General features: G+C 49.2%; 1 long non-coding RNA gene and 2 other non-coding genes across 3 annotated transcripts, besides 1 other annotated feature; all 3 read left to right on the top strand.

Annotated features, from left to right (window-relative positions):
• The first annotated feature begins 3,210 nt into the window (after nt 1-3,210).
• On the top strand, nt 3,211-14,451 carry LOC105372436 (uncharacterized). Its single transcript, XR_936021.4, has 3 exons — nt 3,211-3,315; nt 7,333-7,421; nt 13,860-14,451. It is a non-coding gene; the product is annotated as an uncharacterized LOC105372436 (long non-coding RNA).
• Nucleotides 3,765-3,864: a silencer, noted in NCBI's record as "silent region_10950". NCBI's record gives its function as "represses an Ori minimal core promoter by ATAC-STARR-seq in GM12878 lymphoblastoid cells {active_cell/tissue: GM12878}" and the evidence as "EXISTENCE:reporter gene assay evidence [ECO:0000049][PMID:35858748]".
• SNAR-D (small NF90 (ILF3) associated RNA D) lies at nt 11,128-11,246 on the top strand. The gene has a single exon (NR_024243.1). It is a non-coding gene; the product is annotated as a small NF90 (ILF3) associated RNA D (small nuclear RNA).
• Nucleotides 12,211-12,330, top strand: SNAR-B2 (small NF90 (ILF3) associated RNA B2). The gene has a single exon (NR_024230.1). It is a non-coding gene; the product is annotated as a small NF90 (ILF3) associated RNA B2 (small nuclear RNA).
• Nucleotides 14,452-15,136: the final 685 nt, after the last annotated feature.

Raw genomic sequence — 15,136 nt, 5'->3', positions numbered from 1 at the left:
TAAATTATAGTGTGATGAGACTGGAGCGAGAGAGACAGACAGTTACAAAGAATTACAACACAGCGGTTAGCACATAACCCTATAAGATACTGGGATGTTCCTGTGGGAACCCCACAGAGCGAATTGCCAGCTCCGGCTCAGCTCGGTGGAAATCGGAGAACGTTTACTGCAGGAGAGGCTGTAAGAACTTGTTCTTGCAAGAAAAGTAGGTGTTTTCTGAAAGCAGTAGTGGGGAAAAGGTAGAAGGAAGAGCAAATAGCAAGTCACAGTTGGGGCCAGGTGCAGTGGCTCACGCCTGTAATCCCAGCACTTTGGGAGGCCGAGGCGGGCGGATCACGAGGTCAAGAGATCGAGACCATCCTGGCCAACACAGTGAAACCCCGTCTCTACTAAAAATACAAAAATTAGCTGGGTGTGGTGGCGGGCGCCTGTAGTCTCAGCTACTTGGGAGGCTGAGGCAGGAAAATCGCTTGAACCCGGGAGGCAGAGGTTGCAGTGAGTCGAGATCATGCCACTGCACTCCAGCCTGGCAACAGAGTGAGACTCCGTCTCAAAAAATAAATAAATAAGGAAAAAATATAAGTCACCGGCGGGAACTATTAACACGTTTTTTATTTTTTGAGACAGAGTCTCACAGGCTGGAGTGCAGTGGTGCTATCTTGGCTCACCACAACCTCTGCCTCCCGGGTCAAGTGATTCTCCTGCCTCAGCCTCCCGAGTAGCTGAGATTACAAGCCCCAGCCACCACGTCCGGCTAATTTTTTTGTATTTTTAGTAGACACAGGGTTTCACCATATTGGCCAGGCTGGTTTTGAACTCCTGACCTCAAGTGATCCACCTGCCTTGGCCTCCCAAAGTGCTGGGATTATAGGCATGAGCCACCGCGCCTGGCCTAACGCGTTTTTTAATAATAGCAAACACTTATATGGTGTTTTCTATCTGTCACATACTGTTCTAATGGCTTTACTTCTATCTACCTATTCAAATCTCATAACCTGATAAAAAGGGTACTTATTATTGCCCCATGTACTTATTATCGCCCCATGTACAATGAGGAAACTGAGGCACAGAGAGGTTAATGACTTGCAAAGCTCTGATAATAACTTGTATTTAATATCAAATTTCAGCTTCCTCAAAACCTTTGAAGACAGTTGTATCAGCCAGGATAAGTAGTTATGCTTCAGTAACAAACACCCCCCCAACCTCCTTCATGGCTTGTAGCAATGAAGACTTACTCCTTGTTCACGTGTGTTCCATATAAGGACTTTATGCAAAATAACCCCCAAGTGTGGAAGGAGACAATAAACCAAAAAAGAGGGAGACAAACCCAGTTCATTGGTAAGGGGTGATTTATTTGGGGAACTTACAAAGGGAAGCATGGTCTTGGGTGGCAGCAAGACAGGTCTATCTCCACACAGTTACTCCCTAATCCTAAGGCTTATCTCACATAGGGAAGGGCAATACTTGCTTTAGCAAGACAATTAAGGGTTAAGACAATTAAGCCTACAGAACAGGCAATGTTCTGTATGCTGTGTCGTAGCCTATAATTTGTGTGATAACATCAAGGTTGACATGTTCTTACACTAGGGACAGTAAGTAAAGTAGAAATCAGAAGGAATTCCCAGGACTGGGATTAATCAGAAGTCAACATGGCGGATAACCATCCAAGATGGAGTCACCTTTGTCTCCAGTGTGACATGCCTATTATAGATTAGCTGAGGTTCTGCTCCATGCCACCCTGACTCTAGAGCCTCAGCTGACAGTACAACCTGTGCTTGGAGCATTTGGTTATCGGAACACAAGGAAAAAGGAGCAAACTTGGCAGCAGTAAAATTAAGTGGTTGCAAATATGGGCTGAACCTGGATTCAAGTCCTGCCTCTGTCCTCGACTAGCTCTGGGAGCTTGGGGGGATGACATAAATCCTCTATCTCAGTGTCCTTGTCTGTAAAATAGGGAGAGCAATGCCTTCTTCATAGGGTGGTGGTGTCAGCTCAGTCAACTAGTAAAGCTCACAACGTGTTGTCAATAAGTAACACCTATTATTATTTCATTCTGGCAATGAGCCATCTAGCTTTTTCTCATGAGGACATATACGGTTTACACTTTTTTTTTTTTTTGAGACAGAGTCTTGCTCTCTTGCCCAGGCTGGCACCATCACAGCTCACTGCAGCCTTGCCCTCCTGGGCTCAACTGATCCTCCTGCCTTAGCCTGCCGAGTAGCTGGGTCTACAGGTGCTCACCACTATGCTTGGCTAACTTTTATATTTTCTGTAGAGATGGGGGTCTAGCTATGTTGCCCAGGCTGGTCTCAAACTTCTGAGTGCAAGTGATCCTCCCTCTTTAGCTTCCCTCTTTGAAATCCCAAAGTGCTGGGATTTCAGGTGTGAACCACTGCACCCAGCCTGGCAATTCTTTTAGTGTTTTACGATTAAGCTTGATATGAGGTTTTGATTATATGGACATACATAAACACAATAAGAAGCCAGTAATTCTTTAACATTGTCGCTATTGTTGTTCAATATGAATATATGCTTAATTTATTAAGCTTATCTAGAAATGACTGGTTACAGAATTTTTTTGTAAGCTTTCTCAGCATCTAGGGTTACTGGATGTTATTAAAAGTCTTTTTAGTGTATCTATAGATATGCTTGCATATTGATATATTCAGAAAGGTCAAAAGATAAATTGCATAATGTCCTAATATCAAACCATCCTTACACTCCTGAACACACATCTCCCAGCTCCCAGAACAGGCTCCATTGCCTGTATCACACTGCCCTTTAAGAAGTGGTGGGTGAAACTGAGGCAAATAGGAAGGCAGATGCCTAGGGAAATTGAGTAACAGTGGTTCAATTCATTCACCATCAGTTTACACAGGGCCAAATTTTATCTGTCCTGAAGACTTCAGCCATGGTATGAGAAATTTGGATTAAATGGACAATGGCATCGCCTCTGCCTAAAACAGGGATATTCGCGTGCCAGTACAGTCAGGCATGTCCCAAATACCAGTTTTCCTCCAAAAGCTGTTGTGTATGTATCTAAATACAGTCTTACTCCTGCCCCGTATCCTGCTCCCAGACTCCATTTCCCAGCATTCCCTCGCAGTCAGAGCCCTTAGGCCGGGAGGAGCAAGAGCCTCAATGGTTTCTGGGAAATGTAGTCCAGCTGCGATGCCGCGTTTAAGGTACCGGGACTTACAGTTCCGAGACAGGGACTGCTCAGGCGCGTTCCGGGACCCGGCGGAGGAAGGGAAGGCCTGGCTGTCCAGCGGAATCCGCCTGGACGCACGGAACTCGCGGACCCGACCGGAGCAGGTGGGTGCAGGCCGGGCCAGACAGGCTAGCAGAAGCTCCGGGGGCGGGCCCAAGTTGGGTCTGGTTGGGAGTGGGGAGGGCGCTGTGGGTGACGCCCCGCCCCCTCTTGTCATTCCCTGAGTCCCACCTAGTATCAGTGCGGCTCAGACGACTCGGCGCGCAGGAATTGGGCGTCTGCTGTTTGCCAGGAGTCCGGCGGAGCGTGGGACTGCTGCGATCCCTAGGAAGGGGAACCTACCTTTCCTCACTTTGCAGTTGAAGAAACTGAGAGTCGGGGAGACTCCGCGATTTCTCTCAGGCTGGCAGAGCTGCAACCCAGATTCTGACCCCAGAACCCGAAAGCAGCACTGCACAGGCACAGACTCGGTCTCGGCTCCCCTTATCCTGAGCATCTGTTCTTCCCTCTCTGGGTCTCCCAGCTCTCTCTGATCTTCCCCTCACCCTCGCCGCCCCAGGTCCTGTCCCCCTCTCGCTGGGTCTCTGTACCCCCTCTCTCTGCGTCTCTCTCCCCCTCTCTGTGGGTCTCTGTCGCCCTCTCTCGGTCTCTGCGCCCTCCCACTCCCCAGTCCTTCTAGCGAATCTCTGTGTTTTCCAAAGACAAGGTCATTTTCTTACATAACCATAGCACCACGATCACAATGAGGAAATTAATATTGATGTAATACTAATAGCTAATCTATAGACTTTATTCAAATTTTTGATGATTCTTCCAATAATGTCTTTTTGTCTTTCTTTTTCTTTTTCTTTTTTTGGAGACAGAGTCTTGCTCTGTCACCCAGGCTGGAGTGCAGTGGCACAATCATAGCTCATGCAGCCTCGACCTCCTGGGCTCAAGAGATCCTCCCACTTCAGTCTTCTGAGTAGTCGGGATTACAAGCACACACCACCATGCCCGGCTAATTTTTTTAATTTTTTTTTGTAGAAACGGGGTCTCACTGTGTTGCCCGGGCTGGTCTCAAACTCTTGGGCTCAAGCGATCCTCCCACCTCAGCCTCCCAAAGTGCTGGGATTACAGCTGGCTCCAATAATGTCCTTAATGGCCAAAGGAAATCCTAGGTCACACATTGCTCGCTTTGTTGGGTCTCCTTCAGTCTGGAACCGGTTTTCAGTCTTCTTTTGGAAGTTCCGAAGATTACAGACCATGTACTTGCATGTCCCTCAGTTTGGGTTTGTCTGGTGCTTCTTCATAGTTAGATTTAGGTCACACGCTTTTGGCAGGGATGCCCTAGGAGTGATGCTGTCTCCTCATCAGACTGGGGACCCTGGGCTCGGCTTGTCCCACCACACACCACATCAGCCTCACTCACATGGGTAAGGTGGCATCTGCCAAGTTTCTCCTCTCTAGTTTCCCTGGTCTGGGCGCGGTGGCTCACACCTGTAATCCCAGCACTTTGGGAGGCCGAGGGGGGCGGATAACCCCAGGTCAGGAGTTCGAGACCAGCCTGGCCAACATGGTGAAACCCCATCTCTACTAAAAATACAAAAAAATTAGCCTGGTGTGGTGGCACACACCTGTAATCCCAGCTACTTGGGAGGCTGAGGCAGGAGAATCGCTTGAAGCTGGGAGGTGGAGGTTGCAGTGAGCCGAGATCACGCCACTGCACTCCAGCCTAGGTGGCAGAGCGAGACTCCATCTCAAATAATAATAATAATAATAATAATACAAAAATCAGCTGGGCGTGGTGGCGGGCTCCTGTAACCCCAGCTACTCAGGAAGCTGAGGCCTGAGAATCACTTGAAACCCGGGAGGTGGAAGTTTCAGTGAACCAAGATCGCCTCACTGCACTCCAGCCTGGGTGACAGAGCAAGACTCTGTCTCAAAAATAAAATAAGGCCAGGTGTGGTGGCTCACGCCTGTAATCCCAGCACTTTGGGAGGCTGAGGCGGGTGGATCACCTGAGGTCAGGAGTTCGAGACCAGTCTGGCCAACATGGTGAAACCCCATCTCTACTAAAAATACAAAAAATTAGCCAGGTGTCATGGTGGATACCTGTAATCCCAGCTATTCGGGAGGCTGAGGCAGGAGAATTGTGTGAACCCAGGAAGTGGAGGTTGCAGTGAGCTGAGATTGAGTCACTGCACTCCAGCCTGGGCAACAAGAGCGAAACCCTGTCTCCAAATTAATAAATTAATTATTTAAATAAGATAAAAAAGTTACCCTGTTCTTTTTGTAATTAACAAGTGATTCATGGGGATAAAGTTAAGACTCTCTTCCTCATTTTCTCATCAAAACCTCGTGCACTAGGCCAGGTGTGGTGGCTCACACCTGTAATCCCAGCAATTTGGGAGGCTGAAGCAGGTGAATCATGAGGTCAGGAGATTGAGACCATCCTGGCTAACATGGTGAAACCCTGTCTCTCCTAAAAAAAAAAAAAATTAGCCAGGAGTGATGGCAGGTTCCTGTAGTCCCAGCTACTCAGGAGGCTGAGGCAGGAGAATGGTGTGAACCTGGGAGGTGGAGCTTGCAGTAAGCCGAGATCACGCCATTGCACTCCAGCCTGGGCAACAGATAGAGACTCTGTCTCAAAAAAAAAAAACACCTCATGCACTAGTTTCAGCATTCAGGTGTGTGTGTTCTGTGTAGCCGGGGATGTGTATGGCTTCTCGCCTGGGAAATGTGTGTGAGGTGCTGCATCTTTTCATTCTGTGGACTGTATTAGTTTCCCATGGTGCTGTAACAAATTGCCACACACTTAAAATGACACAATTTTATTATATTACAATCCTGGAGGCCAGAAGTTGGAAGCGGGATTCAAAGGGATCAAGGGGTCAGCACGGCCATGCTCCCTCCAGAGGCTCCAGGGATGGATCTGTTTCGCTGCCTCGTTGCCAGTTTCCAGGGGCCTGCTTTCCTTGGCTTGTAGCCCTTTCCTCTGTCATCAAAGCCAGCAGTGTAGCGTCCTCTCTCTCAGCCTCTGCTGCTCTCTGCTTCTGGTGCATGGCCTTCTTCTGCCCTGTGTCAGACTCTCCTCTGCCCCCTCTTATAAGGACACTTGTGAAGGCATTTAGTGCCCGCCCAGATAATCCAGGATAATTCCCCCCATCTAAAGATCCTTCACTTAATCCCTTCCGCAAAGTCTCTTTTCCATATAAGATAAGATCTGTAGGTTCCAGGGATATCTCTGGGGGCTGTTATACAGCCTGTCTACCCCACCAGGCAGGAAGTCCCAGTTTATGGAATAAAGTTTTAAGAATCTTTGCCAAGGCTGGGTGTGGTGGCTCATGCCTGTAATCCCAGCACTTTGGGAGGCCGAGGTGGGAGGATTGCTTGAGCCCAGGAGTACGCGACCAGCCTGGGCAACATAGAGAGACCCTGTCTGTATTATTAAAAAATAATAAATTATATAAATAAATAAGAACCCCTGGCCCAGGCACAGTGGCTCAGGCCTAAAATCCCAGCAATTTTGGAGCCCGAGGTGGGTAGATCACCTGAGGTCAGGAGTTCGAGACCAGCCTTGCCAACATGGTGAAACCCCATCTCTACTAAAAATGTAAATATTAGCCAGGCATGGTGGCAGGTGCTTGTAATCCCAGCTATTCAGGAAGCTGAGGCAAGAGAATTGCTTGATCCTGGGAGGCGGAGGTTGCAGTGAGCCGAGATGGCGCCACTGCACTCCAGCCAGCCTGGGACACTGAGTGAGAATCCATCTAAAAAAAAAAAAAACAATATATATATATATATATATAAAAGATAGGGGTGGCCCTGTGGCTAGACTTCTCTGAAACTTTTTGTCTCCATGAACTTGAGCAAGTCTTGACCTCTTGTGCCTCAATGTCCTCATCTAGGGGTAACCATCGTTCCCACGTCCGAGAGCTGTTGTGTCGGGGAGGTGAGACAGCCTCATGGTTGCTGGCTGTTGTCACTGGTATGGAATGGGGGCCTCAGGTGGCCTGTCCTGGGACTTTGCTTTGACTCTTAGGGGACCATGGCCCCTTCCGTGACCAGGAGTCTTGGGGAAAGCATCTGTCTGTCAGGGTCACAAATGACCCTTTTTCTGCTGTGGTCTCCTCCTCCAGCTCTTCGGGCCCTGGCGTGAACCCTTCTCCCAGAGGCACATGCCCAGAACCCAGCAATGGCCAATGGGACCTTGATGGCCGAGGGCCAGGTGAGTCTGGGCTTCCTCTTCCCCAGGATAACTTTGTGGACTCCAGTGGGCCCTCTTCATCCCTGTGCATGATCTCAAGGTCTCCTGACTCTTCCAATACTGGGAAAGGGGGTATGAGGAGAGGGGAGCCGGGCAGTGCCCAGGGGCAGGAGGCAGAGGCAGAATGCTCTGAGCTGGGACCATGTCGCGCAGTCTAAACATTTTTCATCGAACACTGCAGCCTTTCAGTTACCAGGCAAAGTGGGCAATGGATGGTTTTGCTTCATCCCTGAGCCTCATCTCTGGAGTCAGGAATGGGGGTGAGGATCAGGGATGGGGTCTGGGATAGAATGGGACTTGCGAATATCTCCTGCACAAAACGGCTTGACGGATTTTTCTTTAAGTGTTTCTTAGGCTGAGCGCGGTGGCTCATGCCTGTAATCCCAGCACTTTGGGAGGCTGAGGCAGGCGGATCACGAGGTCAGATCGAGACCATCCTGGCTAATACGTTGAAACCCCGTCTCTACTAAAAATACAAAAAATTAGCCGGGCGTGGTGGCGGGCGCCTGTGGTCCCAGCTACTCGGGAGGCTGAGGCAGGAGAATGGCGTGAACCCGGGAGGTGGAGCTTGCAGTGAGCCGAGATTGCGCCACTGCACTCCAGCCTGGGGGATAGAGCGAGACTCCATCTCAAAAAAAAAGCATTTTTTAGGGCTGTCACTTAGAGCTGTGCAGGTTATGCACTGCACAAGTGTGCCTCATCCCAGGCAGGACTCCCACCTTATACCTCATACATTGGTGGCAGTTTGCAGGCAGTTTGATAAACTGTCATATACTAAATTAATTGGTATATTACAATGACTTCCCAACAGATGGCAGTAAAGAGTCATGTGAAAGGGCTCCTTGTTCTACTTTCTACCAAGGTGCCTATGGGCGAGTTTCTGCCTTAGATAGGTTCCCATAGGCCAGTTGGATTCAGGCATCCCAATTCTGCACAATCAGAATGTTCCAGCCCAGGGGGCTGTTGTGGGCTCTTGACCCCTGACACTTCTGCCCCCAAGTTCCAGAAGGACGTGCCACTCCACAGAATGAAACTGGCCCTTGCAGGAATCAGTGACCTTCAAGGATGTGGCGGTGGACTTCACCCTGGAGGAGTGGGGCTGGCTGGAGCCTGGCCAGAGGGAGCTGTATTCACCCAGTACCAAATGTAAATGTGTGCCCCAAATGCAGCAATCAAGATAAAAGAATATTTAATGCAATATTGGCCAGGCGCGGTGGTTCACGCCTGTAATCCCAGCACTTTGGGAGCCCAAGGTGGGTGGATCACTTGAGGTCGGAAGTTTGAGACCAGCCTGGCCAACATGGCGAAACCCTGTCTCTACAAAAAAAATAAAAATAAAAAATAAAATTAGGGTGAGGTGGCACACGCCTGTAGTTCCAGCTACTTGGGAGGCTGAAGCAGGAGAATCACTTGAACTCAGGGAGACTCTGCACTCCAGCCTGGGTGACAGAGTGACAATAATAACAATAACAATAATAATGCAACATTTTTTAAAAATCAAAATCAATGCAAAAAAAATCAATGATGAACAAAATATCAAATTTTTTAAAAAGGCCAGTCTCATGCCACATCAGACTGCTATTTCAAAGGAAATGTATGTGCCCCCATATACTTGCTTTTTTTTTTTTTAAGGAGAGGGGTTCTTGCTCCATTGCCCAGGCTGGAGTGTGGTGGTGAGATCATAGCTCACTGCAGTAACAAACTCCTGGGCTCAAGGGATCCTCCTGCCTCAGCCTCCTGAGTAGCTGGGACTACAAGCACACACTACCATGCCTAGCTAATTCCTAAATTATTTTTGTAGAGACAGGCTCTCCCCATGTTGCTCAGGCTAGTCTTAAACTCCCAGGCTCAAGTGATCCACCCACCTTGGCCTCCCAAAGGCCTGTGCTGGGATTACAGGCATGAGCCACTGTGCCCTGCGCAAGTTTTTATATATTTTTTCTAAATTTATTTTTCCTGGAATGCTAAACTAGTTGAAAAATACTGAAAAATGAAGTAAATGTGTTGAAATTCACAACATTATTTTACATTTAAATCTTTCATATATACCCTAGACAGAATTTGAATAATTTGACTTTCTTGGCTTTTAATGGAGGCAAATCTGTCATTAACACTTTCTTTTTTTTTTTTAATCATTCTTGGGTGTTTCTCGCAGAGGGGGATTTGGCAGGGTCATAGGACAATAGTGGAGGGAAGGTCAGCAGATAAACAAGTGAACAAAGGTCTCTGGTTTTCCTAGGCAGAGGACCCTGTGGCCTTCCGCAGTGTTTGTGTCCCTGGGAACTTGCGATTAGGGAGTGGTGATGACTCTTAAGGAGCATGCTGCCTTCAAGCATCTGTTTAACAAAGCACATCTTGCTCCGCCCTTAATCCATTTAACCCTGAGTGGACACAGCACATGTTTGAGAGAGCACACGGTTGGGGGTAAGGTCACAGATCAACAGGATCCCAAGGCAGAAGAATTTTTCTTAGTACAGAACAAAATGAAAAGTCTCCCATGTCTACTTCTTTCTACACAGACACGGCAACCATGCGATTTCTTAATCTTTTCCCCACCTTTCCCCCCTTTCTATTCCACAAAACCGCCATTGTCATCATGGCCCGTTCTCAATGAGCTGTTGGGTACACCTCCCAGACGGGGTGGTGGCCGGGCAGAGGGGCCCCTCACTTCCCAGTAGGGGCGGCCAGGCAGAGGCGCCCCTCACCTCCCGGACGGGGCGGCTGGACGGGCAGGGGGCTGACCCCCCCACCTCCCTCCCGGACGGGGCGGCTGGCCGGGCGGGGGGCTGACCACCCCCCCCCCACCTCCCTCCCGGACGGGGTGGCTGCCGGGCGGAGACGCTCCTCACTTCCCAGATGGGGTGGCTGCCGGGCGGAGGGGCTCCTCACTTCTCAGACGGGGCGGCTGCCGGGCAGAGGGGCTCCTCACTTCTCAGACGGGGCGGCTGGGCAGAGACGCTCCTCACCTCCCAGACAGGGTCGCGGCCGGGCAGAGGCGCTCCTCACTTCCTAGATGGGATGGCGGCCGGGCAGAGACGCTCCTCACTTTCCAGACTGGGCAGCCAGGCAGAGGGATTCCTCACATCCCAGACGATGGGCGGCCAGGCAGAGACGCTCCTCACTTCCCAGACGGGGTGGCGGCCGGGCAGAGGCTGCAATCTCGGCACTTTGGGAGGCCAAGGCAGGCGGCTGGGAGGTGGAGGTTGTAGCGAGCCGAGATCACGCCACTGCACTCCAGCCTGGGCACCATTGAGCACTGAGTGAACGAGACTCCATCTGCAATCCCCGCACCTGGGGAGGCCGAGGCTGGCGGATCACTCGCAGTTAGGAGCTGGAGACCAGCCCGGCCAACACAGCGAAACCCCGTCTCCACCAAAAAAATACGAAAACCAGTCAGGTGTGGCGGCGTGTGCCTGCAATGGCAGGCACTCGGCAGGCTGAGGCACGAGAATCAGGCAGGGAGGATGCAGTGAGATGGCAGCAGTACAGTGCAGCTTCGGCTGGGCATCAGACGGAGACCGTGGAAAGAGAGGGAGAGGGAGACCATGTGGAGAGGGAGACGGGAGACGGGAGACAGGAGAGGGAGAGGGAGAGGGAGACCGTGGGGAGAGGGAGACGGGAGACAGGAGACGAGAGGGAGAAAGGGAAGAAAGGACAGCCCCGACACCCGGAGCCACTGTGGCTCCGGCTGGATGCGCCTGCCCTCGGGCCCTCAGGGAGGCAGGGGTTCGAGGGTACGAGTTCAAGGCCAACCTGGTCCACATGGGTTGAAAAAAAAATTTTTTTATCGTTCCCAATATAACAACAAAACATAAAGGGAGGACGCCTTGATAGGAAGAAATGACATCTTCCTATGTGTTTTTAAATTACTTCAATGTATCTTTTTTTTTTTTTTGGGAGACCGAGGCTTGCTCTGTTTCTTGATTTCCAAGACGTCGTATGGTAAAAAATAACATAAAATCTTGCAAAAATGTTTATATTATGTTAAAATTATGATGTTTTAGGTATATTAGGTTAAATCAGCTATTTTATCAAAATGAATCTCACCTGTTTGTTTTTGCTTTTTTTTTTTTTTTTTTTTGAGATGGAGTCTCGCTCTGTCGCCCAGGCTAGAGTACAATGGTGTGGTCTCAGCTCACTGCATCACTGCAACCTCTACCTCCCAGGTTCAAGCCATTCTCCTACCTCACCCTCCCAAGTGGCTGGGATTACAGGAGTGTGCCACCACACCCAGCTAATTTTTGTATTTTTAGTAGAGACAGGGTTTCACCATGTTGGCCAGGCTGGTCTCGAACTGCTGACCTCGTGATCTGCCTGCCTCGGCCTCCCAAAGTGCTGGGATTACAGGTGTGGGCCACTGTGCCGGCCATGTTTCTCGACTTCTGCTGGCAAGCATGTTCCAGTATTTGCATGGCTCCTAGCCCTCATCTCCATTTCTCTGCACAGATGTTACCTTCCCCATGAGGTCTGCCTTATACATGAGGCCTGTATTATAAAGTGCAACTGCCAATTCGCCAACCCCGTTGTTTCTTCTCTCCAGAACACTAGGCACCATCTGATCTACTATGCCTTTTCCTTATTGTCAGATACTGAACTCTCAGCTACAGTTCCCCTTCCTCCCTCCAGGGGGCGCCATGGAACGCAGGGCCCTCACTGGCCCTGGGGACTGGGTGACGACAGGGGGGAGCCTCTGGTGATTGGCTCCCTCACCCTGCGTAAGATCAAAGGGCCTACAGGACAGCCCCGACACCCGGAGCCATTGTGGCTCCGGCCGGTTGCGCGGGCCCTCGGACCCTCAGGGTAGGCGAGGGTTCGAGGGCACGAGTTCGAGGCCAACCTGGTCCACATGGGTTGAAAAAAAAATTTTTTTATCGTTCCCAATATAACAACAAAACAGAAAGGGAGGACGCCTTGATAGGAAGAAATGACATCTTCCTAAGTGTTTTTAAATTACTTCAATGTATCTTTCTTTTTTTTTTTTTTTTGGGAGACCGAGGCTTGCTCTGTTGCCCAGGCTGGAGTGCAGTGGTGTGATCTTGGCTCACTGCAACCTCTGCCTCGTCGGTTCAAGGGAGTCTCCTATCTCAGCCTCCTGAGTAGCTGGGATTACAGTCGCCTGCCAAGAGATGGGGTTTCGCCATGTTGACCAGGCTGGTCTTGAACACCTGGCCTCAAATGATCCACTCGCCTTGGTCTCCCAAAGTGGTAGGATGACAGGCGTGAGCCACCGCGCCCAGCCTCTTCTATTCTTTTAGAGACAGGGTCTCACTCTGTTGCCCAGGCTGGAGTGCATTGATGTGATGTGTGATCATAGCTCATTGCAGCCCTGACCATCCGAGCTCAAGCAATCCTTCTGCCTCAGCCTCCTGAGTAGCTGGGGCCGCAGATGTGCACCACTGCACCTGGCTAATTTTTAACCTTTTTGTGGAGCCAGAGTCTGTATAAAATAAAGTGTAAATAGTACCATAAATAAAGAATACATAGTACCATTTTATAGTAGTATAAAACGGACATTAGAAACTCTGGACTTAAAGGTTAAAAAAATACACAAAAGTAGTTCTCAAGTTCTAGAGACTTGGAGAATCCAGGAATCAACAATGTCGTGGAACTCCTACAGCCTTTCATAAAGAATGGCCCTCGAGGAAAGTGGAATTGTCAGTGGGCATTGTGTTCGTGCCTCAGCTAAACACGGCAGGAATTTATTTATAACCTAGTGTAACATCCTCGAGGCACTGTTCAATTATTCAAGCAATTGTAAAATTCTCCCAGTCTTAGAAAAGATACAGGTGTGTGTCCCTCTGCTGTGGCTGTGCACTGACGCTTCAGTAAAAGTTGCCGTCTAAAACCACCGGCCTGCCCTTGAATTGTTTTTTTTTTTTTTTTTTCTTCTTTTGATTCTCAGCCTCACTCTATCACCCAGGCTGGAGTGCAGTGACACGATCTCTGCTCACTGCAACCTCCGCCTCCCGGGTTCAAGCGGTTCCCCTGCCTCAGCCTCCTGAATAGCTGGGATTACAGGCACCCGTCCCCATGCCCGGGTAATTTTTGTATATTTAGTAGAGATGGGGTTTCACCATGTTGGCCAGGCTGGTCTCGAACTCCTTACCTCAAGTGATCCATCCGCCTCAGCCTCCCAAAGTGCTGGGATTACAGGCGTGAGCCACTGCGCCCGGCTTCTTGAATTAGTTTCTAGGAGAAGCCAAGAACCCCCCCGGGCTAAGCCTCAATTTTGGGGCTCGCCTGTGCTGCATCAGCTTCACACGCAGAGAAGAGAGTGAAAGAGAAGGGAGAGCCGTCCTTTTGGGCTGCCTTGAAATAAAGGTTGACCCATGGGTTCATGTATTGTCATTCATTCTCATTTTCTCTTCCTCTCTTTCTCTCTCTCCCCTGCCCCTGAAGTTAGCTTTTCTAAACCCTACCTGGATAAGGATAAGAAATAGAAGGAGGGGACACTTTAGGATGCTACAAAATAAAATACAACAACAACAACAGCAACAAAAGGGGAAGAAACAAATCTGGCCACTGCACATTCCTCCTTGCCAACAAAAAGCCGTGGATGCAAAAAGCTGCCCTTCACTGCATAGACAGAACAGGGCGCGCTCGAGCTATGAATCTCGGAAATTACTCAAACCATCAGCCTCTGCAAGAAGCAAAGTGGACGGCCGGGCGCGGTGGCTCACTCCTGGAATCCCAGCACTTTGGGAGCCCGAGGTGGGCGGATCACGAGGTCAGGAGATCGAGACTGTTCTGGCTAAACCAGTGAAACCCCCTCTCTACTAAAAAAATAACAAAAGCGAAGTGGATCTCCCATAAACGAGGTACTGCAGGAAGAAAGCAGAAAATGAGACCCGAGTACACACATGCACGCGGGCGTGCGCACACACACACCAGAAGAAATGAACCAAGAGGAAAGGAAATATTTTCAAGTAAGCATTTGGAGATGGGAAAAACACCTTGAAACAGAAATTCATAAAGTACAGACATGTTTTTTTTTTTAAGTTAAAAGAGGAACAATAATAAACAGGCAGAAAATGAATAAAAAATAAAATGTCATATCAGAAGTGAAGATAAATTAAAAGTGATCAAAGGAGAAGAGATCTAAATGCAAACTTAAGAAGGGGCAATTTTTTTTTTTTTTTTTTTTTTTTGAGACGCAGCCTCACTCTGCCGCCCGGGCTCGCAGCCTCACTCTGTTGCCCGGGCTGGAGTGCAGTGGCGTGATCTTGGCTCACTGACACCTCTGCCTCCTGGAGTCAAGCGATTCTCCTGCCTCAGCCTCCCAAGTGGCTGGGATTACAGGCATGAGCCACCATGCCCGGCCTAGAGTCAACATGGAAATTAAACAACCTGCTTCCAAATGACTTTTGGGTAAAGACTGAAATTAAGGCAGAAATAAAAAAATTATTTGAAACTAATGAAAACAAACATACAACATCCCAGAATCTCTGGGACACAGCTAGAACAGTGCTCAAAGGAAGTTTATAGTGCTAAGTGGCTACATCAAGAAGCTAGAAAGATCTCAAATGAACAGCCTAACATCACACCTAGAGGAATTAGAAAAACAAGAGCAAATCAACCCCAAAGCTAGCAGAAGAAAAAAAAACACCAAAATCAGAGCTGAGCTGAATGAAATTGAGATGTAAAAAATCATAGAAAAGATCAATGAAACCCAAAGT

The sequence above is a fragment of the Homo sapiens genome, chromosome 19 (genome assembly GCF_000001405.40).
Source record: "Homo sapiens chromosome 19, GRCh38.p14 Primary Assembly".
NCBI lineage: Eukaryota > Metazoa > Chordata > Mammalia > Primates > Hominidae > Homo > Homo sapiens.
This window is presented reverse-complemented; position numbering and strand designations above follow the sequence as displayed.